The sequence below is a fragment of the Homo sapiens genome, chromosome 6 (genome assembly GCF_000001405.40).
Source record: "Homo sapiens chromosome 6, GRCh38.p14 Primary Assembly".
Lineage (NCBI taxonomy): Eukaryota > Metazoa > Chordata > Mammalia > Primates > Hominidae > Homo > Homo sapiens.
In genome coordinates, this window is record NC_000006.12 from 39,356,144 (window position 1) to 39,378,861 (window position 22,718).

The window sequence follows — 22,718 nt, forward strand, 5'->3', positions numbered from 1 at the left end:
TCCTTCCATTGGGATGTGTCTGATGTTTTCCTCATTCTTTGACTGATGTTATGGGTTTCTGAGAGAAAGGCCACAGAGGTAGAGTGCCACTCTTATCACATCATATCATGGGGACTGTCTGACACCTTCTTCTTTTTTTTTTTTGAGACGGAGTCTCTGTCGCCCAGGCTGGAGTGCAGTGGCACGATCTCAGCTCACTACAACCTCTGCCTCCTGGGTTCAAGTGATTCTCCTGCCTCAGCCCCCCAAGTAGCTGGGATTACAGGCGTGTGCCACCGCACCTGGCTAATTTTTGTATTTTTAGTAGAGACAGGCTTCCCCATGTTGGTCAGGCTAGTCTTGAACTCCTGACCTCAGGTGATCCACCCACCTTGGCCTCCCAAAGTGCTGGGATTACAGGCATGAGCCACCGTGCCCGGCCCTCTGACACCTTTTTTAAAGCCCTATTTTATATTTCTAATGTGAGGGCTCAGCACCCCTTCAAACCCAAAGGATTGCTCCTTGGTGGCAGAGACGGAGGCCCCACACATACTATCCTGGCCTCTGGCATCAGATGGACAATGGCAGGAGGCGTGCTTCCTCGGTGCTACCCCCTGGGTTGTGTGGTTGGAAAGAGACAATAACATGGTTGTGGGGAAGTAGAGTCCCTGCTGGTCATCCCATCATGTAGGGAGACTGGCTCTGGGCCATCCTCATGTGGTGTTTTTGGAGGCTACCTGGATCCTGGCTAGGACGAAGAGCTCCCCTGTGTCTCAGTAGGCGGGCTACCCACTGTCCCACCACCACTGTCCCCCAAACCCCCTTCTCCCATGCTATGACCCTGTTCCATTCCTGCCAATCCCTTCTTCCCACTCAGGAGGCAGGACCAGGGCTTGATTGTGAAACCTCTTGTCTCTTGTTACCATGGCAGTAGGTCTACTGGCTGTCAGAGTGAGGGACTGAAGGGGTGTGCACTCCAACCAACTTGAAAGCCACTGTCTTGAGTATCTACGACTAATTAAACAGTAAAAGGAATTAATCCTGCTGGATCATATGGCTTATCAAGAGACATGAGAGCCACAGGAATAGGTTAAACAGAAAGGTAGGGAGCCTTTTCTGGGAACTCTAACACCTCCGGTGAGTTCTCACCTTACCTTTTGTTAGAGAGGAGTTGGGACCATTCATGCTGGGAGTCAGATGTCTGGAGAAATGGCTTCGTGTGATCGAGTGAATTCACTGCTGGAGAATTTACCTGTTGGCCCCAGAAGGAGTTTCACAGTGTTAGCTTGAATCTAATGACATAGGAAGATGTTTTTGATGTAATTCTTTTTTTTTTTTTTTTTTGAGATGGAGTCTCGCTCTGTTGCCCAGGCTGGAGTGCAGTGGCGCGATCTCAGCTCACTGCAACCTCTGCCTTCTGGGTTCAAGCAATTCTCCTGCCTCAGCCTCCCGAGTAGCTGGGATTATAGGCACCCGCCATCATGCCCGGCAAATTTTTGTATTTATAGTAGAGACGGTGTTTTGCCATGTTGGCCAGGCTGGTCTCGAACTCCTGACCTCAGTTGATCTGCTCACCTTGGCCTCCCAAAGTGCTGGGATTACAGGCATGAGCCACCATACCCGGCCTTGATGTAATTCTTAAGGGGAACAAGCCAGCTATAAAAGTTAGTGTACACAAGGTGTATGGCCAAAAACAAATCTAGACATGGTAATGACCATAATGATGGCTTCAACATATTGTCTAGGGATGGTAAAGAATTATGGGTAATGTTTAATTTATTCTTTATGCTTTCCTGTGCTTTCCAAGTTTTCCACGTTGAACATGTATTCCTTTTTAAAGATAGGAAAAAATTGTTTAAAATGTTATCTTCATTCTTCAAAAATACTTTCTGGTTTTGCTTCTCCTTGTCCCAAAGACCCCCTACTAAAGTCAGGAGACATCCACCGAGCACTTTGTGTAGGGGAACAGCTCTGCAAGCTGCATGTCCCCACATAGGCCTCAAGAGCAAGGCATAGATCACAGCTGGTCTAAGTCTTGGCAGAATGCCCTGTAAGCCTCCTGGAACGTGAGTGCATACAGGAAGCTTGTGAGTGGTTGCTACTAGGTTATTTCCCACTTGCTTCCCTATCCTCCCAGAAGGCTATCCTAGAAGTTTCTTGTCACCTCTCTTGTTCTAATGAGGTTTGGAGCTTTCTGCCTCTGCCCACTGAGGGTACAGCTGCAGGCTATAGAACTGCTCAGGGGCAGCATGGAATTGGCCCCTCTGTACCAGTGTATCCCACCATCCCCCTTGCTGTCATCTGGTCCCTTTTGTTTCAGTGACATCCTGTGGGGCAGGGGACACATGGAGCTGACACCCTTGCCTACTCTGGCTTTCGCTGTCTCTGTAAGTCATACACTGTCTGAATGTGTCAGCTTTGCCTGGACACTTCCTGAGTTTCGCTGGTATGACCCTTGTCGACCGGTCAGTGGTGGACTCCCTCGGGCACCAGCTGGGGAAGGCCTCATTCACTGATGAACTTGCCAGGAAGGGCTCTTAACCTGGAGTCCACAGACAGAATCCAGGGGCTCTGCCAATGTGGATGGGAGCCAATCACAGCTGCATTTCCCCTAGCTGCTACCTGAAATTATTTCTTTCAGTGATAAATGCAGACAAGAAACCACAAAAGTATTAGCAATACCTGTGACTTTGTCACCAACGGAAATCAAGCATATTTTCATATCACCTGACAGTTGGTGTAGAGATCTTGAAATATTGTGTCATTTCATCATGACTTTGAAGTTATGATAAATATTGGGCCTACACCTAGATCTTATTAATTAGTGCGTTTTAAAAGTGGTACATGTATTACTATACCATAACTCAAAATATTTTGATAACCGTATTTCATTCTAACTAGTTTTCTTTGTTATCTCGTGTATTTAATTTTATCCAAATATTCTTCTCCATTGTCCTGCCGCGTGGCCACTTGCTATCACACTGGTTATTGCTTGGCTATGTCCTTGGCAAATCATCTTCTCTGGCTCTCAGTTTTCTTGTCCTTAAAATGAAGGGATCAGCCTGTCAGATAATCAGTAAGCATTCTGCCAGCCAGAAAAGGGATCTGATTGTGCGTATTTTAGCACTTCCGCTGTGCCACAACTGAGGTGTTACATGAGGAAAACTGAAACTGGGATTTTGTGCTAACACTTATGGAAAGGTCATTTTAGCCTTCATCAAACAGAAAACTTCTAAGAATTTGTCTAGGAAATATGCAAAAAATTATCTGCAAATATGTTTTGAGTAAAAAACTAGAAACAACCTAAATATTCAGCGATAGGAGATTAAAACATATTTACATGATGGAACAGTAACAGCCATTAAAACAACGCTGTAGGATAATAACATGAAAAAGTAGCCATGCTATACAATTAATTTTTAAAAGCCATTTGCGATACTTGAACAGCTATGTGATTTATTATTATTATTATTATTATTTTGAGACAGGGCCTTGCTCAGTCACCCAGGCTGGAGTGCAGTGGGTCTATCACTGCTCACTGCAGCCTCGACCTCCCAGGCTCAAGCACTCTGCCCATCTCAGACTCCCAGGTAGCTGAGACTATAGGCACATACTACCACATAATTAGCCTGGCTAATTATTTTTATGTTCATTTTGGTAGAGACAGGGTCTTGCCATGTTAACCAGGCTGGTCTTGAACTCCTGGGCTCAGGTGATCAGCCTTCTGAAGTGCTGGGATTACAGGCATGAGCCACCGTGCCCAGCCTGATTCTATTTGTACAAAAACATATGGATATATATGCATAGAAATCAAGGTAAAAGAATATAATCAAACATGTTAATATCAATTACATTTAAGTAGAGGAATTATGGTGATTTTTACTTTCTTCTTTGTGTTTTTCTGCCTAGTAAAATTTCTATAATTCATATTCACATATATATGACTATGATAAGAAAAACAATAAATGTCAGTAGGAAATCAGTGGAGAATATCACACAAAGCATTGGTGGCAAACCCACTGATTTTTGGGAGCTGCATCTTTTATCCCTAATTTTTCCATTAATCAGGCAGAATTTTAGGCATGACAGCAAGGAAACAATGAACCCCTGCCCTTTTGTCATCCTTGTTACTACAGTGAGCACCTGCTTCATGAGCAGGGGCTGAGACCATGGGGGCCTGTGGGTCAAAGCCCCCACTGTGTCTCTTGACAGCCCCAGTGGGGCTGCATGACTGGCCCCTCCCCAGCTTCCCTGATGTTCCCCAGGCCATACCTGCAGGTTGGTGGCCTCCTCTGCCCACCAGACTTCAAACTCTTTCTGTAGCTTCACCTTGGCTTTGTCCATGAGCAGCTGCAAGTGCTCGATCTCCACCTTCAGGGCTTTCAGGCGAGTGAACATTGTTTTATACCTGCGGTGGAATCGGGGAAGAGTCAGGGCACTGCTGTCTTGAAAGCACGGCATGGATGCAGGGCTGTAAATGAATGGGGCCCGTGCCTCAGAATCCCGTCAGAGCTGCCCTGGTGCTCAGGGACTGGGACCCTATAGGAGCTTCGGAGGCCAGGCTATGGCACCAGGGTTTGAGTCCATCACAGAGAAGCAGACGGAGACATTTTGGTCCAGTAGGCCCATGGGAATCTGTGTGTGAGATGAATAGCCTCTCCCCCAAGAATGAGAACTGCCATTTGCTGAGCACTTACTAAGGGATAAGCATTGCTGCAGGCACTCAACATATATAAACTCATTTAATTCTCCTCACAACCCTATGAAGGAGATACTATGATTATCACCTCCATTTTACAGATTCGGAACCTGAGACAGGTATGAAGAGGTTATATAACTTGCTCTATGGGACAGAGATAACTGAGGAGCCAGGATTTGAACCCAGGTGGTCTGGTTCTAGAACCACAGTCTTAACTGCCTCACCATTCCGCTGGCTCACCTTCATGCTGAGGACCAAAAGTAACACTGTGCTTATGAACGCATACATATATTGGTTTTGAGAATGCTATAATGAATCAGAAATTGTCCAATAGGAAACAGTCCAATAGCCAGGCCGAAGAGATAAGTTGGCCTCTAAGGTGACACTGAGATTGGAAATGTGGGCCAAGGGGACAAGATGAAGATGGAGTAGAGACACAAGAAGAATGGGTTGGAGGCTGGGTGTGGTGGTTCACACCTGTAATCCCAGCACTTTGGGAGGCTGAGGCGGGTGGATCACCTGAGGTCAGGAGTTTGAGACCAACCTGAGCCTACATGGTGAAACCGTGTTTCTACTAAAAATACACAATTAGCTGGGTGTTGTGGTGCGTGGCTGTAATCCCAGCTACTCAAGAGGCTGAGGCACGAGAACTGCTTGAACCCGGGAGATGGAGTTTGCAGTGAGCCAAGATCACACCACTGCACTGCAGCCTGGGAAACAAAGTGAGGCTCCATCTCAAAAAAAAAAAAAAAAAAAAAAGCGGGGGGTGTTGGAAAGAAACTAAGGAAAATGAACAGAGCGAGGGAGAAGGTGGACGACTGGCGAGGGCCCCAAGGGAGTGGAGAGCGACAGCAGCGTGTGTGCTCAGGTAGACTTCTGTAGGAAGACACCTGCACATCTGCCAGGAGCGACCTGAAGACCAGCGCCTGGGGCTTTGATCTCCTGGGTGTGCGTCGGGGGGCAGGGGCGGTGGTGCATGCCAGGTCAGCTGGGGGTTGGGGTGGGGCAGGGAGTGTGCTGCAGTGACACCACCAGCTCCTTGAGGCAGGGAAGATGACTGTAGTCTCTCCAGAGCCTACCCATGGCATGGAGGAGATAGCACACATGTGCTAAATGCATCAATGAATGAGTGGATGCAGCTTGATCAGCATGTGGAGCAAGATTCGGTGACCATGCTGTATATCAGGAATGGCTACATGCCTGTTTATGCTTGAGGCTCCTCACTCTGTAAGTGAAGTCGTTTGGAGACCCCAAATGCCTGCGGCTGCGTGAGAGTATGACGTTCTCAGGACTCGGAGGGAAGTGGACTTCAGCCATAGGCACGCGGAAAACCACCGTGGTCATATTTCTTGGCTCCCGTAGGTGGCAGCAGTGGACAAGCCCAGCTGCTTCCCGGGCCTGGCTTGGCTTGTTCTGCATTCTAACCTCACACTGCCTGGGGTCCTGCCTTTCACACCTGCCTGCTCAAAGGCAGCCCCTCCTCCTCCTGCTGTTCTAGGATCCAGCTGCTGGACCCACATCCCTGAGTAGCTGCAGCCCTGGGAAGCTCCAGGACGACACTGAGACCCTGGGAGGCTGGGCTCGGACTGTGTGTGGCTAAAAGGAAGGGCACCTTCTCTTTTCTTCCTCCAGTTGTGATCGCAGCTTCTCCTCCTGCTGGTCTGGCATCAGAGGCACGGCCATGTTTTCCGAGATTCCTGTAGAAGGAAGGTGCCAATGGGATGGTGAGAAAGAAGGGTAAAAGGAAGAGTGTGATATTTGGGCAGATGACAGAGTTCAAGGGCACCCCAAGAAGAAAGGAGCCTCTGTGAGTTCCTTCTGGGGCCTCTTGGTGGCAACCTCTGCTCAGCTGAAAGCCCTGAGAGGAGCAGCTTCCAGGGTTATTGTCCCTCTGCTGTCCCTCCCACTGCCAACATCTGTCACTGGAAGGGAATCTTCCTCTGTGTCTACTAATCCTTTTACTATTGAGCTCATTCATTTCCTGTTGAGTTTCCAGGGAAGACGCAAAATAGCATTTCCCCATCCTCTGATAAAGAGCCCTTCAGGGCCAGGCACAGTGGCTCACGCTTGTAATCCCAGCACTTTGGGAAGCCGAGGCAGGAGGATCACCTGAGGTTAGGAGTTCGAGACTGGCCTGGCCAACATGGTCAAACCCCGTCTCTACTAAAAATACAAAAATTAGCTGGGCGTGGTGGCGGGCGCCTATAATCCCAGCTACTCGGGAGGCTGAGGCAGGAGAATTGCTTGAACATGGGAGGCGGAGGTTGCAGTGAGCCGAGATCATGCCATTGCACTCCAGCTTGGGCAACAAGAGAGAAACTCCATCTCAAACAAACAAACAAAAACAAACAGATAAACAAAAACAAAAGCCCTTCACAAAAAAAGGAAACCTCTCTAAACCATCTGACATCTTTCTCTGCACAAGTGGAGGTGCTTAATTTCCAGCCTCAGAATCGTGTCTCCTGTTTTTCACTCCCTCTGCAGCAGTGGTTCTCAAGCCTGATGAACGCAGGCCATGTTAATTCACAACCAGGGATGAGCCCAAGCCTTGGCGATGGGACCATCATGAGGCCCAGGGGAGGGCTGAGCACGTCAGCAGGGATCAGCTGCTGCGTGTGTCTGCGTCCCTGCTGATGCCGACCTCTGTCTTCCCCCACATGACTGCCACTGGTGCCTGGTTGCCTGCTCTGGCTAGTGTGCTCATCTGAAGCTGGCTGTCTCCTAGCCCAGAGTGTGGGGACTTTTTATTCTTCTAGGAGTCTCTTCGTGGTTGCCCTGCTTTTCTGAGCTCCACAGACAACATCCTAGAAGTCGTACAGCCCTGCTTTTTACTCTATGTAGGGAAGACTCTGCTACAGTCCATGTGCTTCCAGACATGCTCAGACTGAATCCTTATAGCATTTATTTGTGGTAAGTGTTATTATGCCCATTTTACAGATAAGGATATTGAGGTTCAAAGAGGGTAAACTGCCCAAGTTATGTGGCTAACTTCAGGAAACTTGGATTCAAAAATCCCTCGTATAACATTTCTGACAGAGGGTCATCTGCTTTCTGCTCAAATACTTGCAGGGATGAGGAGCTCACTACTTTGCAGGGTAGTGCATTTCATGGCGGACAGCTCTGTTTCCTCCTACTTTTGAGCCAAGACATTTCCCGCTAACTTCTTTTCACCTCTACTTTGGCTCTTTGGAGCAGTGTAGCATATCTTTCTTCTTAATCTGATGGTCCCTTAAATATCTGAACAACAACATCAAAATATCACATGTGTCTGGAACTTTTTTTTTTTTTTGAGATGGAGTCTCGCACTGTCACCAGGCTAGAGTGCAGCAGCGCGATCTCCACTGACTGCAACCTCTGCCTCCCAGGTTCAAGCGATTCTCCTGCCTCAGCCTCCTGAGTAGCTGGGATGTAGTCCATCCCAGGGTGGTGTGGTAGTGGTATGGTGCACACCACCACGCCCAGCTAATTTTTGTATTTTTAGTAGAGATGGGGTTTCACCATGTTGGCCAGGATGGTCTCGATCTCTTGACCTCATGATCCACCCACCTCGGCCTCCTAAAGTGTTGGGATTACAGGTGTGAGCCACCGCGCCCAGCCCCCTTTTTTTTCTTAGACTGACTCCTGCTCAATCCCTCACCTGAAGTCTCAGTGACCTGGTTACTTTCCCATTTATCTTAAGTGTGAAGGCTAGGTCTTGACATAATACTTCCATGGGTCTGAAAGGTATAGAGTAGAGTAGGGCTCCTCTTACCTTTTAAAAATTTAAGCTCTATATTTTTGTAGTAGGTGAATTACTAACAATGACCATTTACTGGGGACTTTCTATGTTCTAAGTTCTGCCAAATTCTACTAGGCACTGGGCTAGGTCCTCCATGTACCCTATTGCTAATTCTCAAAATAACCCTTCAAGGATGGCATTGCCATCTTCTTTCAGCTAGATTCTTGGTCTCAGAGAGGGCCATGGATAACTCAAGGTTACATAGCTACTAAATAGCAGAGCTGGGATGTGAACCCATTTGTTTTTTTCTGATTCCAAGGAGCTAAATGTTTCTACCAGACAGCCTCCCCAACACTGCTTATGATTTTTAGCAGCTCTGTCGTGGTTGGCCCCTATTAAGCTTGTGGTCAGTTTTAAAACTTGCATTTTTTAAAAATAAGTGATTGTTAAAATGCGTCCTGTTTCAGTGTGATTGTCCTTTTGATCCCAAAGGCAACACTTCACATTTATTGGCAGCCTAGTCTGCTGAGAGGTCCTTATTCTGTCACGCCATTATTCTTCCCCTTTGACTCCCTTACCCATTTGTTACCTGTGTCTTTTGTGTCATTAGCTTACTGATAACTATGCTAACTGGATCACGATTCTGTCTGTCATCTTCCAGGTGCCATTGACCCCCCTTTTCCTTATGTCAATTGCCAACTTTAAATCGACAGGCAGAGCAAGTGTCTTATTTCATTATCTAAACACAGGACATGCAGATACCATCAACATCCCACCTGAAGTCCACACTGTCATCTGTGTTGGTGCAATTTATTGGCTCAGATGAGGCAGCCCGCCTGTCCACATCACCCACAGCCCCCCAAGTCTCAGGCACAGGAAGCCCTCAAGGGCAGAGATTGGGGTCCTCCTGCTCTTAGTGTCTTCCCCCAGTGCTGTGTTCAGACTCCATGAGTCACTCCATGAGGGTGACTCAGTGCCTCGCATGTTTGCTGGCCTTGCCTTCTTTGAAAGTCATCAGACATGATAAACTGAAGGAAGTATCTTAATATGAAACCGACAATGGTAGGACTTTCAATGGACAAACAATTCCTTTTTAAAAAGTTTCAGAAATGGGCCCAGGTATCTTCCAGCCTGCTAAAAAAGTAACACTGTGAATTTCCTTCCTCCTTTTAACACTTTTGTCCCCACCCCAAGGACACCCCCAAGAAATTCAGTGAAGCCCCACTCTGCGGTGACTGGCTAGACGTCCTGCTGCAAGCCCAGTACGTGAGAGACTGCTGGAGGCGGGCGGAGGAAGGGCTGCTGGACTCACACAGGGCCATCTCACCCGGCCAGAAGAGGCAGTCTCCAGGCCTTGGTGAACAGACAGCAGAAGGTAGGGGGGACGGCCAGGGCGGCCTGCTTTTCCATTTAAAGGCTGCGGTCACCCCATGTGAACGCAGAGCCCCTCTGTAGGAGGCAGGCTCTTGCCTCAGCCCATGACTGGTTGTCTTTTCCTTGGGCATCTTGCAGGTTCCCTGGCAGGTCACAGAGTCTCAGGTGCCCTGGAAGTGTGTGGGGTGCTCGGGAGCCTTAGGCAAGGAGCACATTCTGAATGCAGCTGACACAAGCACAGAATGATAACATCAACGCCATCTGGGGAGTCGCTTGAGCCCATTCCCTGCGCAACACCACTTTCATTCTCACCACCTCAGCTGGCAGACATGATCACCTCTGCTTCACAATCAGGAAGACCAAGGCTTAGGGTGACTGGGTGGCTTGTGCGATGCCACAAAGCTACCAAATAGCAGCGCCAGGCTTTGGATCCAAGTCTAGTCACTCATCCGCTTATTTAACAAATGTTTATCGAGCATTGACTATGTGCCTGCCCCTGTTCTAGGGGGATTCCAGTGGGGAAGACAGACACTAAAACCACAAACAATTGAGTCTGCAACATCATGCTGGGGATCGGAAGGTGCTATGAGGAAAGACAAAGCTGGGTAAAAAGACAGGATGACAGGGTGGAAGACTGCCATGCTAGGTAGGGTGGGTGAGGGCCTCTAAGTGGGGGGACATTTGAGCAGTGACCTGAATGGAGGAAGGGAACAGGCATGCAGAAATCGGGGCACAGAATGTGCAACAGTAAGTGCAAAAGGCCTGAGGTGTGAGCCTGCTTGCTGCATCTAACAACAATGAGAAGGCCAGGAGCGGTTGGGAAGGGAAATCGTGGTGGGAGCTGAAGTCAGTGAAGAAACTGAGGCCAGACCCTGGAGGATCTTGGGAGCCATGGTAAGGACACTGGCTTTGAGAGAGATGGGAGTATTTTGAGGAGAGGAATGGGCTCGATCTATTCCTTTGAAAGCTAAGTTGAGCATTTTTTTTTTTTTTGCTGATCAAGACAAAGCTACTCCAAATTGAACAACAGTTAATGTGGAGGTGGCGCCAGGAAGCCGGGAGTCTGTTGAAAGGGTCTGGGAAAGAAAGCTGGGGCAAGGGACCTTGGGAAGCCAGAATGAGGGCACAGCACACTCCACGACACAAACTACCCACGTTGTCATGACAACCAAATGGGCCTGCTGCCCAAGGTGATGTCTGCTTGGTGAAATGCATTGCAGCCTCACCAGGAGACAGCCTCTGGCTGCTTCTGATATGTTCTGAGGCTTGGCTCATCAGTAACCTCTGAAGAGAAATAGGGGCTGGGAACTCAAAGGGAACCAAATAAAAGCCACTGAGCAAGAACAGAAGAAGAGGGAGTAACTACAAAGGGCATTTGAGTTTTGTAGGTCTCCATCCCCACGGGGACTCTGGCCAGGGACAGAGCCTCCCATCACCTGACAGGAGGCACAGGGAGCCCTCCTTTCAAGGACAGGATTCTGGCTGGGACAGCAGCACAGGAGCTCACAGTGCCGAGTGGCCTGCGAGGTCACACTGTTCATCTGTGGGGAGGCAGCTGCCTCCAAAGCAGTACAAAAGCAAGAGAAGGGTTTCACTCAGTGGCTGTAGGTCTGAATGGCACACAGGAAGAAGCCCTGAGCAGTCAAACAGTAACTGAAGCTTCAAGTTGGGAGGACGCACAGACGCACAGTCCCAGGCTGACCTTATCTCTGAAGTCACGGGTGTTTTGGAATTAGCCGTGCAAGGACCAGAGGGGCTCTTGCTGGGAAGGCCAGTCAAGATGTGGACCCCCTCCTTCCTGACATAATTTCTACTGGAAAGATCTCTGCAACTCCTTGTCCCACTTCCCCATGCCCTCCTCTCAAACGCTCTCTCTCCCACGCAGTTATCTGATATTTGAAATGTGCAGAATAGTTTTTTTGGTTCAATGGTTCTCAACTGGGGGTGCACATCAGAATCACTTAAGGAGCTTGTAAAAGCACACAGACAGCTGGGCCCTACTCCAGACCTACTGAGTTAAAATTTGTCAATAGGGTCCCCTGGTGATTCCAATGCTCACCCCTTGTTAAGAAACACTGCTTATGGCTTCAAGCCCAGTTTCAATGCAAGTACTCTGTGCAGAAGTTACTGAGAATACAGGCCCTACAGAAGTTTAGATAGGATGGTGTGTAGGAGCCAGCACGTCCCCTACATGCCTGCCTGCTTTCCAGACATTTGGGAGCCACTGTGATAAAAGTAAATAGGGCTTCAGGGGTTTGCAACCAGGAAAGCACACTCTCTGTAAGGTTGAAACTGCCTGCATCGGGCCCTTGTAGGTGCTTGATAAAATCTGAATAACCATAACCATCGCACAGCTGCTACATGGGTTAGGAACTTCATATGTATTGTCTTGTATAATCTACAACTCCCACTCCAAGTGGGGAAACTGAGCTTTGATAGAGGAAGTAATCGCCCAGGATGGCACTGCTGGTAAGCAGAGCTAGTGGGAGAACTGGCTCTGTCCGATTTCAAAGCTGGTGCTCTTTCCTCTGTAAGTGATTCCAATAATGAAGGAAGCCACAGGGCAGATTATTGAAGTCTGTATTGACTCGTCGTTGGTATTTGAAGGTGTTGCTCTTTTCCATGAATGCCTTTCAGATCTGGGGCTGGGGCTGAGAGACAGTCTTAGTGTCTTCCCCTGGTGCTGGCCTGTGAAGTCTGCCCTTTAATAACCGAAATCCATGACCTGTGCCCCAATCCCATATGGCATTTGCAGCTTGCCTGCTAGGTGTGAGGAGCTATATACCCACTCTCCAGGGTCAGCCCACAGAATGCCCACAGCCAGCCTGTTCCATGCCCTTGGCTGGACTAGGAATCCTAAAGAAGATGATGTTGAAATTTCCAAGCATTCACCAAAGCCAAAAGGGGCCCTCTGGGCCTCTGTAGAGCAAAGGCTGTGGGGCCCACATGGCTGTCACCTAACCAGTGCCCTGCGTGGGAAGGGGAAGTGAGTTATGTGGCTCTACCATGGCAGACAAGACATCAGAGCCAGGAGGCATTCCAGGTGGTCGTCTTGGCCATCCAACTACCCAACTAATGATTCATTTGCTGAATACCCACTCTGGGCCTCCTTGGGGCTCAGCTGTCTCACACAACCATAGATCACTTCAGCCTCACCTTGTTTGAGAAGACAAAGTGTCTATTCTTACGGAGATTGATGGTGTTCATAGCTCAATTACCACAATGGTCAGCAGCTCAGAGGCAAAGATTCTGGCTTCCCAATCAGACCATTTCCTGTTTAATGGCTCAAATTTACTGTCAGCTGGAGCCGTCACATGCCGACGGGTGCTCAGTGCTGCCATCCATCCTGGTGCTGATTTTGTAACACCTTAGCGGACCCAAGCATGCCCAGATTTAAGGGTGTGCTGAATGACCCTGCGGACACATGGCTGTACCTGATAATTTCTTGGGCACACTCACCCCCACTGCCACAGACCCTGCGCTCACTGCCACTGCCTTCCCCTCAGGAAGAGCAGGGCACTCTGTGAGAAGATAAATGGCTGTACTTTATTACAATCAGAAACGTGCCAGATGCCTGCTTGTAGCAAAACCCAGGCCCTGACAGTCCCCTCATAGAAGGCCATCCACCATCTCTTCCTGTGTGAGTAATCTTCCCTGCTACGACTGTGGGCCTCTCTGTCCAAGGTTGTCCCCCAGGGATGGCGGCCTCTCTCCTTCAGATCTGCTCCTTCTCACCAGCATGTTCTCTGTGGAGGAGGCAGACTGTAAAGTCAGAGGGTCAGCGTGTACTAGGGTCAGTCGGCAATATAAAGGAGACCCTAGGGCCATACACCATACACAGGGAAGACATTCCTAATCTTATTACTGCTTGAACTTGGCATGGATCCTATTCATGGTCACCTCTGTTCAAATGGGAGCTCTCTCTCATCTCTCTCCACGACTCCTTCTGCTGGAACCCCAGATCCATCTTTTGGTTACTGGTCTGCATTTCTCTTATCACCACCACTAAGAGCCTGGCTCGGTGATTTCTGGGTCTGACCCACAAGGTTCCCCTTTTTCCCTGGTGCACAGCACCTCTCCCAGCCTACCCCTCCAGGGGCAGCCTTCCAGTCCACTGTGACTTTCTCTCTCCTCCATTGGAAGTGTGCCTGAAGTTCTGAACTCAGGTTTCTCTCAAAGCTCTGAGTACCTTGGCAGTTCTCCCTCCTGTCACTTAAGCCTCATGGACTCGTGGTGACCATATGGCTCAGTGCAGTGGCTTCTTAGAGACATTAGTAGGAAACTTGGCATGCCTACAGTCCAGCTGCATCTTTATTGCACTGGACCAGCCAGGGGGCAGTGTTCTCAGGATGCATATGATCTTTTGGGGAGAGCAGTTTTTCTTGCACCTATAAGAGCCAGCACAGGCATTCTTCCTATGAAAACCTCTAATGAAGATGGTTAGTAGGGTTCCATTGATTCTCTTGACTGGCTAATTAGAGAAATTTCAGGAGTTTTAAAAATTGAGTTGTGGATCCTTCATCAAGCTGTCTCCCTCTTCTTTTGGAAAACATACCTGCTACTAGCCAATTTGTAAATTAATCCTTTCATTTGGCAATAATTTATCATATATTGGAGTCAAAAGTGAGTTCTGAGACAGACCACACAGTAGAACTGGCACATTTTCAAAGTGAAATGGCGAGAGCTGGCTAGACAACCCAAACACTCACATCAGCATTTGAAAAGGGCCAAAATAAATGTTTGACAAGAATTCCTTTAAAAAGAGCTAGCAGTTTGCCTAAGCCTACCTCCTCTCCCTCCTTGGGGGTGGTGTGTGTGGAGATGCTTCTTCCTCCCTCAGGGGCAGTGAAGGAGCCCGAGAGACCACGCAGAAAGTTTGCTGAGAATTCTCGGGGATCTGTGTGGGTGCTGGGGGTGGGGGGCAAGAAGGCCAGAGTGCACTACTGTCGATTTTTATTCAGGAGCTCTAGAGGGTGGGGCATGGGCTGATGATCTGCTAGTGGCAAGAGCAGGGTTACTACTGTGTTTCTGTTGACCCAACATGGGCTATAAGCACAGAAGAGAGGGAGGTTAGGGGCATTTTGGATCAGTGGTGTGCTGGTAAGTGTTTAACAACCAGCTCTCTGGAAGAAAAAAGCCCTGATTTTCAGTGTTTGCCAATTTTTGGGGTACAAATATTCCTGTTCAGTCTACCAACATGATGTTCCTGAATTTGGAGTTGGGAAAAAATGTACACGATCAGCCCTTGTGAGCCAGTGGGAGCTGGCTCCAGCACGCCTCTGAGCTCCTCTACCACAACACTTGACACTTACATTCTTTCTCACGGGGCCACCTAGAGGGGCAATGGGAATGCAGGAGAAGGAAACCTGGAGGCGGGCAACCTGGGGGTGGTATGCTGGGCCTATTCCTAGCTCATTGACTTCTCCACCCTCTTTTACCTTCCTTACACCCTCTGCCTTCTGTCTGGGCTCCTCCAGTGGGGAACAGCAGCAAGTAACTGGAGGGTAGGAGGAGAGAGAGGCCAAGCTGTTTCTTCATGGGAGACTTCTCTGCGGGGGTCACAAGCTGGACACATGGCTTGACTGAAGGTCACAGCTCGTATCAGATGGCCAGGGCCTTTCTGCACAGCCCTGACAGTCTTTAAATTCTAGTAACTTTTCCCTGTCTTGTCCAGGCCTAGGGACAGCAATGCTTCCTGCCTTGCTGCAGTGACTATCTCTGGGGTGCTCTCCCTTGCAGTTTCCCTACACTCTGCTTATGCCTCTGTAGATAGGTCTTTATCCAATTCTCTTCACAACGTCTCATCTGAGTGCTGACATCTGCTTCTTGTTAGGACCCTGACCCATATAGATTCAAATTGGGTAAGGAACCGCCCAATAAGGCACATTCCCTCAAGTTAAGGGACCTGCTGGTGAGGGATCTCCAGAGACCCATGAAACCACCCCAAATTAGGAAGAGTCTGCTTTGAATATCTACCAGGCCCAGAGAGTCCAAGGCCACATTACAGCAGAACCATTCAAGTGAGATTTTACCAATGGCCCTTCCTCCCTTCCTTCTTTCCTCTAATCCCTTCTTGAGGAAATCGAGCCTTAGCAGGCTAAGGAAGGGAGGGAGTTAGAAAGAGAGATGACTATTTCCCTCTCCTCCTCACAGTTGGCCTGAGTTGGGGTAAGGGAGAGAAGTCTTATCTCTTGATGAAATTGGAATTATTAAGATTGCAATTACTATATAAAATGACCACTCTTTTTGGTTTGTAATTAACAATGAATGACCAATTCAGTTATGGGGTTGATCAATTTCCATCCAGGGGCAGAGGAAGAACTTTCCCTCCTATGAAGATGGGAAGAGACGGTGGGAGAACAACAAAAAAGTAACCTTCAGGGCACTTCCCTGTATCACTCATGTCAGGCACACCACCAACAGCTATTAAGTCCCTACCAAAAATTACAATGCGCCTGGAGAAGAAAATAAGTGGTAAATTTTCTGTTTTCACCTTTAAGTAAAATGATCCTGACATAAATGGTAGTAAGGAGAATTAAGATTAATCAGAATTGAATTGGGATTCACTTTTTACTACCACTTCTATCACAATGATTCCACTAAAACAGTAATTTTTATTTGATCTATGAAGCCTTGGAATCTAATCCTTCATAGAGTTCTGGGAATTATTATAAACCATTGCAAACACAAAAAGTTCAGAGAATGAGATAAATAACACCCATGTACTGACTATATTTTGAAATATCTAAATAGTTTGCTGCAGTTTCATTTTTTAATTTTAAATAGAATATTACGGAATTGGTAGAAGCATCCTTCACAATTCACTCTACCCTTTCTCCTGGGCAGGCTCCTGGCTCTTTACAACAGCTCCCTAATTATTTCTCAAATAGATATCAGGATTTTCAAAATACCACTTAAAGCTTTCTGTTGGTTATTTGCACCCATCATTTGTATTTCAGCACAGCCAACCTTGGTTTCCTGTTGGTTGTTCTTTCCCAAACTAATCATCACCTTCTCTGGGGAGATGGGAAAGTCTTACCCAACTCCATTACACATGCAACAGAACTGTTCCTAGGAAACACCGAGGCCTTTCTTGGTCCGAGATTTGCCGAGCACAGATGGCGATTTTCATCATGTGTAAAGGAAAAAGAGGACAGATAGAGGGGCCAGCCATAATACATTCTAGTCTAGCAGATGAGATGCAGAGGCTAGAATTTTGTCTTCTATATGTTTGGTCAAATGCCTAATTTGCTCAAAGCAGCAGCCATGATTTCTGCACAGTTGCATGATGAAAAAAATGGCTCTGGCAACTGGTAACAAGATCATCTGGGTTCAGCGCTTAAAGGAATAGACAGCCCCTTCTTGGATGTGATTGCGTTTTTTTGCAAGAAAGAGTAATCAATGGTGTCTGTGAGTAAATATGGCTAGAGCAGTGTAGTGACTGTGTCTTGTGGAGGCCTTCAATGCTGCTGGTGGCCCAGAGCCATGGTCAGCTCTGTGGCAAGGAGTCTGAAATTGTCTCTGTTTGCTGATGACTTGAGTTTATATATAGAAAACCCTAAAGACTCAACCAAAAAACTTTTGGTTGATAAGTGAGTTCAGTAAAGTTACAGGATACCAAATCAGCATATAAAAGCCAGTAGCATTTCTATATACTAACAACAAACTATCCGAAAGAGAAATTAAAAAAAAATTCCATTAATGATAGTAACAACAACAAAAAACCCAAAGAACAAACAAACAAAAATTGGGTGTAAATTTAACTAAGGAGGTATAATTGAAAACTATAAAACACTGATGAAAGAAATGGAAAAAAACCACAGATAAATGGAAAGATATATTGTATTCATGGATTTGAAGAATTAATATTGTTAAAATATTCATACTACCCAAAGCAATATATAGATTCAATGCAATCCTTATGAAAACTCCAATGTTATTTTTTTACAGAAATAGAAAAAAAATCCTAACGTTCATCTGGAACCACAAAAGACCTTCAATAGTCAAAGTAATCTTGAGCAAAAGGAACAGAGCTGGAGGCATTACACTCTCTGTTTTTAAAATTTACTACAAAGCTATAGTAATCAAAACAGCAGGGCACTGTGATAAACAGACACATTGACCAATGCAACAGGAGAGAAAGCCCAGAAATAAACCTACATATTTATGGCCAGTTGATTTTTGACCAAGGTGCCAAGATCATACATGGGGAAACAACAGTTTCTTCAATAAAAGGTGTTGGGAAAACTGGATATCCACATGCTCAAGAATAAAATTGGATCCCTATCTCAAACCATAAAGAAAAATTACCTCAAAATAGATGAAAGACTTAAATATAAGATCTGAAACTGTAAAACTACCAGAAAAAAACATAAGGGGAATAGTTCAACAACATTAATCTAGGCAATGATTTTCTGGCTGTGACCCTGAAAGCACAGACAACAAAACAAACTTGCACAAATTGGATTATATCAGACTAAAACGCTTTTGCACAGCAAAGGAAACAATCAACAGACTAAAGAGATAACCCAGAGTGGAAAAAAATATTGGCAAACCATACATCTGATAAAGGGTTTATATTCAAAATATATAATGGACTCAAGCAACTCAACAGCAAGAAAACACATAACCCTATTAAAAAAATGGGCAAAGGACCTGAACGGAGATTTCTCTAATGAAGACAAACAAATGGCCAACAGGTTCATAAGAAAATGCTCAACATCCCTAATCATTAGGGAAATGCAAATTAAAATCACAATAAGATAGCACCTCACACCTGTTAAAATGGCTATAAGAAAGATGAAAGATAAGTGTTGGTGAGGATGTGGAGAAAAGAGAACCCTTGTACACTGTTGGTGGAAATGTAAATTGGTACAGTTGTCATAGAAAGCAGTATGGAGGTTGTTCAAAATACTAAAATAGAACCACCATGTGATCCAGCAACCTTGCTTCTGGGTATACATCTGAAGGAACTGAAATCAGTATGTTGAAGAGATATCTGCATTTCCATGTTCATTGTAGCATTGTTCACAATAGCCACGACATTGAATCAACCCATCAACAGATGAATGGATAAATAAAATGTGGTATATATACACAATGGAATACTATTAACCCTTAAACGAGAAGGAAATTCTGTCATTTCCAATAACATGAATGAAACTGGAGGACATTATGCTAAGTTAAATAAGCCAGGCACAGAAAGACAAATAGTGCATGATCTCACTTATGTGAGAATCTGAAATAGTTGAACTCATAGAAATAGAGGCTAGAATGGTGGTTACCAGGGGTGGGAGGTCAGGAGAGGGAGATGTTGGTCAAAGGGTACAAAGTTTCAATTAGATAGGAGGAATGTTTTTGAGATCTATTGCACAGCAGTGTGAACACAAGGAGTAATAATGGACATTTCAAAATTGCTGGGAGTAAATTTCAAATGTCTCACCACAAAAAAAATCATGGGTGAGGCAATGAATATGTTAATTAGCTTGATTTAAACATTCTACATTGTATACACATATCACAACATCACAATGTACCCCCAAAATATATACAATTATGGCTTTTCAATTAGAAATAATATTAAGAGAAGCAAACAAAAATACCAAAAATGGTTGAGTAATGAATGGCAAATTTCCTCTCTCTGCTTGAGCTGGGACATCGATCTCCTGCCCTTGGACGTTGGCACTCTGGCACTCAGGCCTTTGGACTCAGACTGGGACTTACTTTTTTGGCTGCCCTGGTTCCCAGGCCTGCAGGATTGGACTAGAACTACAGCTAGACTTTCCTGGGCCCGCAGCTTGCAGATGGCAGATCATAGGATTTCTCAGCCTCCACACTGAGTGAGCCAATTCCTTCCAAAAAATCTCTCTCCATATATCAATATATTTCCTATTGGTTCTGCTTATCTGGACAACCCTGACCAATACACAGGGTGAATGCTCTTTTTGCTAAACCACAGTTGCTATTGCAGGCTGGCACCAGGGCTGACATAGAGTCTTCCTCTGCCCTCCAGAATGGTTGGTGCAGGAGCCTTAAACCACTCAATGGGTCTGAACCCTTGGCAGTTGGGAACTGGCAGGGAAATGGTGTGCAGGCTCCTCCTCACTCCCAGCCTCTCCCTTGAGCATGGAAATTCGGCTAAGGACCTCATGTCACTGAGGATGGCCCTATATTCACAAGCAACTGTGGATTAGAATTAAGTGGTGAGACACACTGTTGATGGTTTTACAGAGTTACCTGAATTCTTTTGGAACCAACTGAGATGTTATCTCAGCCTTAGAGGGCAGCTGCATCCTTTATATCCTGCCTTATTTCAAGGAGTCAACAATTTTATTTCTGAGAGGGTGAAAACATCTGTAATCCATCCAAGCTCTCCCATGTCTCCGCACCAAGGTTGCGAGTGTTTTCTGCATGTCTGAAGGAAGCCTGCCTTCACAGAGGTAATACTGTGACACTTGAGGGCTGTGGAGTGCTAGAGATTCATCTGTTCATTCAACAAGCAGTCAGTGAAGGCCAGCTAAGCCTCAGGAACTGTGCCCGGCACTGGGCTATCATCTGGTCCAACCACGTCATTTTACAGATGTAGAAACCTGAGCGCAGAGCCCCTCAGCTGCTGGCACATCTTTAAGGCAAAAATGTGATGCCTAAGTTTCACTCATTCATTCAATAAACACTTATGGAGGACCTACTGCGTGACAGTCACTGTGCTTGGTGTTGGGGAAAGAAAGACAATCTGTCCAGTGTGGGAGACACAGACTAATCATCACTGTCTAGTGTGACTAGCTGCATCACAGAGGGATATGCAGAGTTCTGTGTGAGCCCAGAGGGAGCTGAGATAGCTCTGGGGAGGGGAAGTTTGGACTATCTGACTTTGGAAATGTTTTAAACAGAGCCATGATATTGGAAGAAAGAAGATATATTAAAAGCTGCAGAACTCTTTCTTCAAATACAAGCTTAATGGAAAGAAAAAAAAAGATCTGAAGTTGTTTTGGTTGAATTTGAGTGGGCGAGAATCCCAAAGCTGCGCTGTTTGCACAGTGGCTGTCCTCACCCTTGCCTCGTGGTCCTGAAGGGGCTGTGGAGACCATCTAGGCTGCACAGAGCACATTTTGCAGACCACTGGGCTAGAGGATGCTGGAAGATCCCCTTCCGTTGTTTTCTCTTTTTCTTTTTTATTTTTTTAAATTTGCTGTCTCCCAGGCTGTAGTGCAGTGGCTCACAGCAGTCTTGACTTCAAGGAATCTTCCCGCCTTAGCCTCCCAAGTAGCTAGGACTACAGGTATGTGCTGCTGTACCTGGCTAATTTTTTAATCTTTTCTAGAAATGAGGTCTCGCTATGCTGCCCAGGCTGGTCTCCAACTGCTGGCCTCAAGCGATTCTCCTACCTTGGCCTCCCAAAGTGCTGAGATTACAGGTATGAGCCACTGTGCCTGCCCTGCCGTCCCCCATCCCCCCCCAACCCCGGTTTCAGTTCAGTCTCAATCAGTGGCTCCTCTCCATATCCTTGGATTCCCAGTTTCACACACTGGATCATGCTAGGTGCTCAGTGAAATCTGGGGAATAAATGGTTGACAGTCTGGCCTTTTGCTTTCTCTTAAATTTGTTGTCCCTAGGTGCAGAACTGCAAAAAGCATTTCAAAACTCAGTCTTTACCAATTTTACATCAAATGGGAGAAAGTGGCATCAACAGCCGAGGCCTGTCTTTGAAGAACAACAGGGATGCCACAAGAGGTCACTGCAGGAATGCTGGTTGGGGGAAAAGAGCCCTCTCAGAGGACTAAACTAGAACAACGCAGTGAAACAGGGAGCCAGCAGCTTCAGAGCCTCTCTCCAACCCGTAAGGCCCTTGCAGGGGACTCAGAGCTGCCTCTGCCTGATTTCCCGGGTCAGGTAGTGAAACACCAGCCAGTGGCAATCCCAGGGCTCCACGTGGCATCACAGTCGAATGGCTTGTTCTTGGGGGCTGCTTTTGTTCAAGGAGATCTTTGTTCCTGGGGCAGTGAGAAGAGGGAGGAGGGAGGTGGAAAGAGGGGTAGTGCCCAAGAGGTAGTATTCGTGGGGGAATCTCAGCCATCCTTTGGAACTTGTTGATCTTAAGTTTAAGATATTTTCTTTTTTTAATTAATACTATCAGTATAACTATCTTCTATAACAGTATATGAAACATGCTCGCTGTCGAGGAAATGGGATGTTCCAGTAAGCTCTGTTTTCACAGAAGTTGGGTCAAGGGGTAAACGCAGAGAAGCGTAAATGCAGAGAAACCCCCATCCCGCACACAAACACACAAACCACACACACATATAACATGTACAACATATCCATACCACCAACACACCACACACACACACAAACCCACAAACCACACACACATACACACCACACACACAAGCACAAAACACACATACAACACATACAACATATCCAACATACCACATACACACATACCACGTGCCACATATACATACAATACATACAACATACCCACACTGCACACATACCACATATACACATGCATACAACATATATCCATACCACATACACACACACCACATGCCGCATATACACAGCACACACGTACATACACAACAGACACACGCATACACACACCCCAACTAACCCAAACTATTTCCCACTCTTCTCTGTGGTTCAGAATCCTGCCCATTCCTCAAGACTCAGCCCAGGCCTGTGGTCTTGGTGACAACCCCCCAGGGCCACTCCTTCTGGTAAGAACGGGAAGTTCTCATGGCCTGTCCCTCTCACCTGACACATTTCACATGCTGCTTGGTAGTGTGATGTATCTTTTAAATTTTAACCACAGGCACCTGTTAAGGGTTTTGATTGTGAACTGAACAAGATCCAGCCCTGATCAAATATTGCTTAGAAGAGATATTTGAGAGAGAGGCCACAGCCCACGTTCCTGGGGCTGGATTCTTCCAGTTTTAGTCCTGC

At 46.6% G+C, this 22,718-nt stretch overlaps 1 protein-coding gene and 1 long non-coding RNA gene across 12 annotated transcripts in view; one reads left to right on the forward strand and one right to left on the reverse strand.

The window, feature by feature from the left end:
• The window catches only part of KIF6 (kinesin family member 6), a 395,419-nt gene that overhangs the window by 26,154 nt on the left and 346,547 nt on the right, over positions 1 to 22,718 (reverse strand). For 10 of the 11 annotated variants that reach the window (NM_001289020.3, NM_145027.6, NM_001289021.3 and 7 more), the window contains 3 exons: positions 6,291 to 6,375; positions 4,252 to 4,387; positions 1,134 to 1,231 (listed from right to left, as the gene is read on the reverse strand). In NM_001289020.3, coding sequence (NP_001275949.1) covers positions 1,134 to 1,231; positions 4,252 to 4,387; positions 6,291 to 6,375 — 319 coding nt within the window. Of the gene's footprint in view, positions 1 to 1,133; positions 1,232 to 4,251; positions 4,388 to 6,290; positions 6,376 to 22,718 lie in introns of those variants that run through there. The other variant, XR_001743238.2, reaches the window with a different exon arrangement.
• The window catches only part of LOC107986594 (uncharacterized), a 38,190-nt gene that overhangs the window by 4,893 nt on the left and 10,579 nt on the right, over positions 1 to 22,718 (forward strand). Inside the window, exon 3 of the long non-coding RNA XR_001744111.2 lies at positions 9,591 to 9,771. This is a non-coding gene — a long non-coding RNA (uncharacterized LOC107986594). The remainder of the gene's footprint in view (positions 1 to 9,590; positions 9,772 to 22,718) is intronic.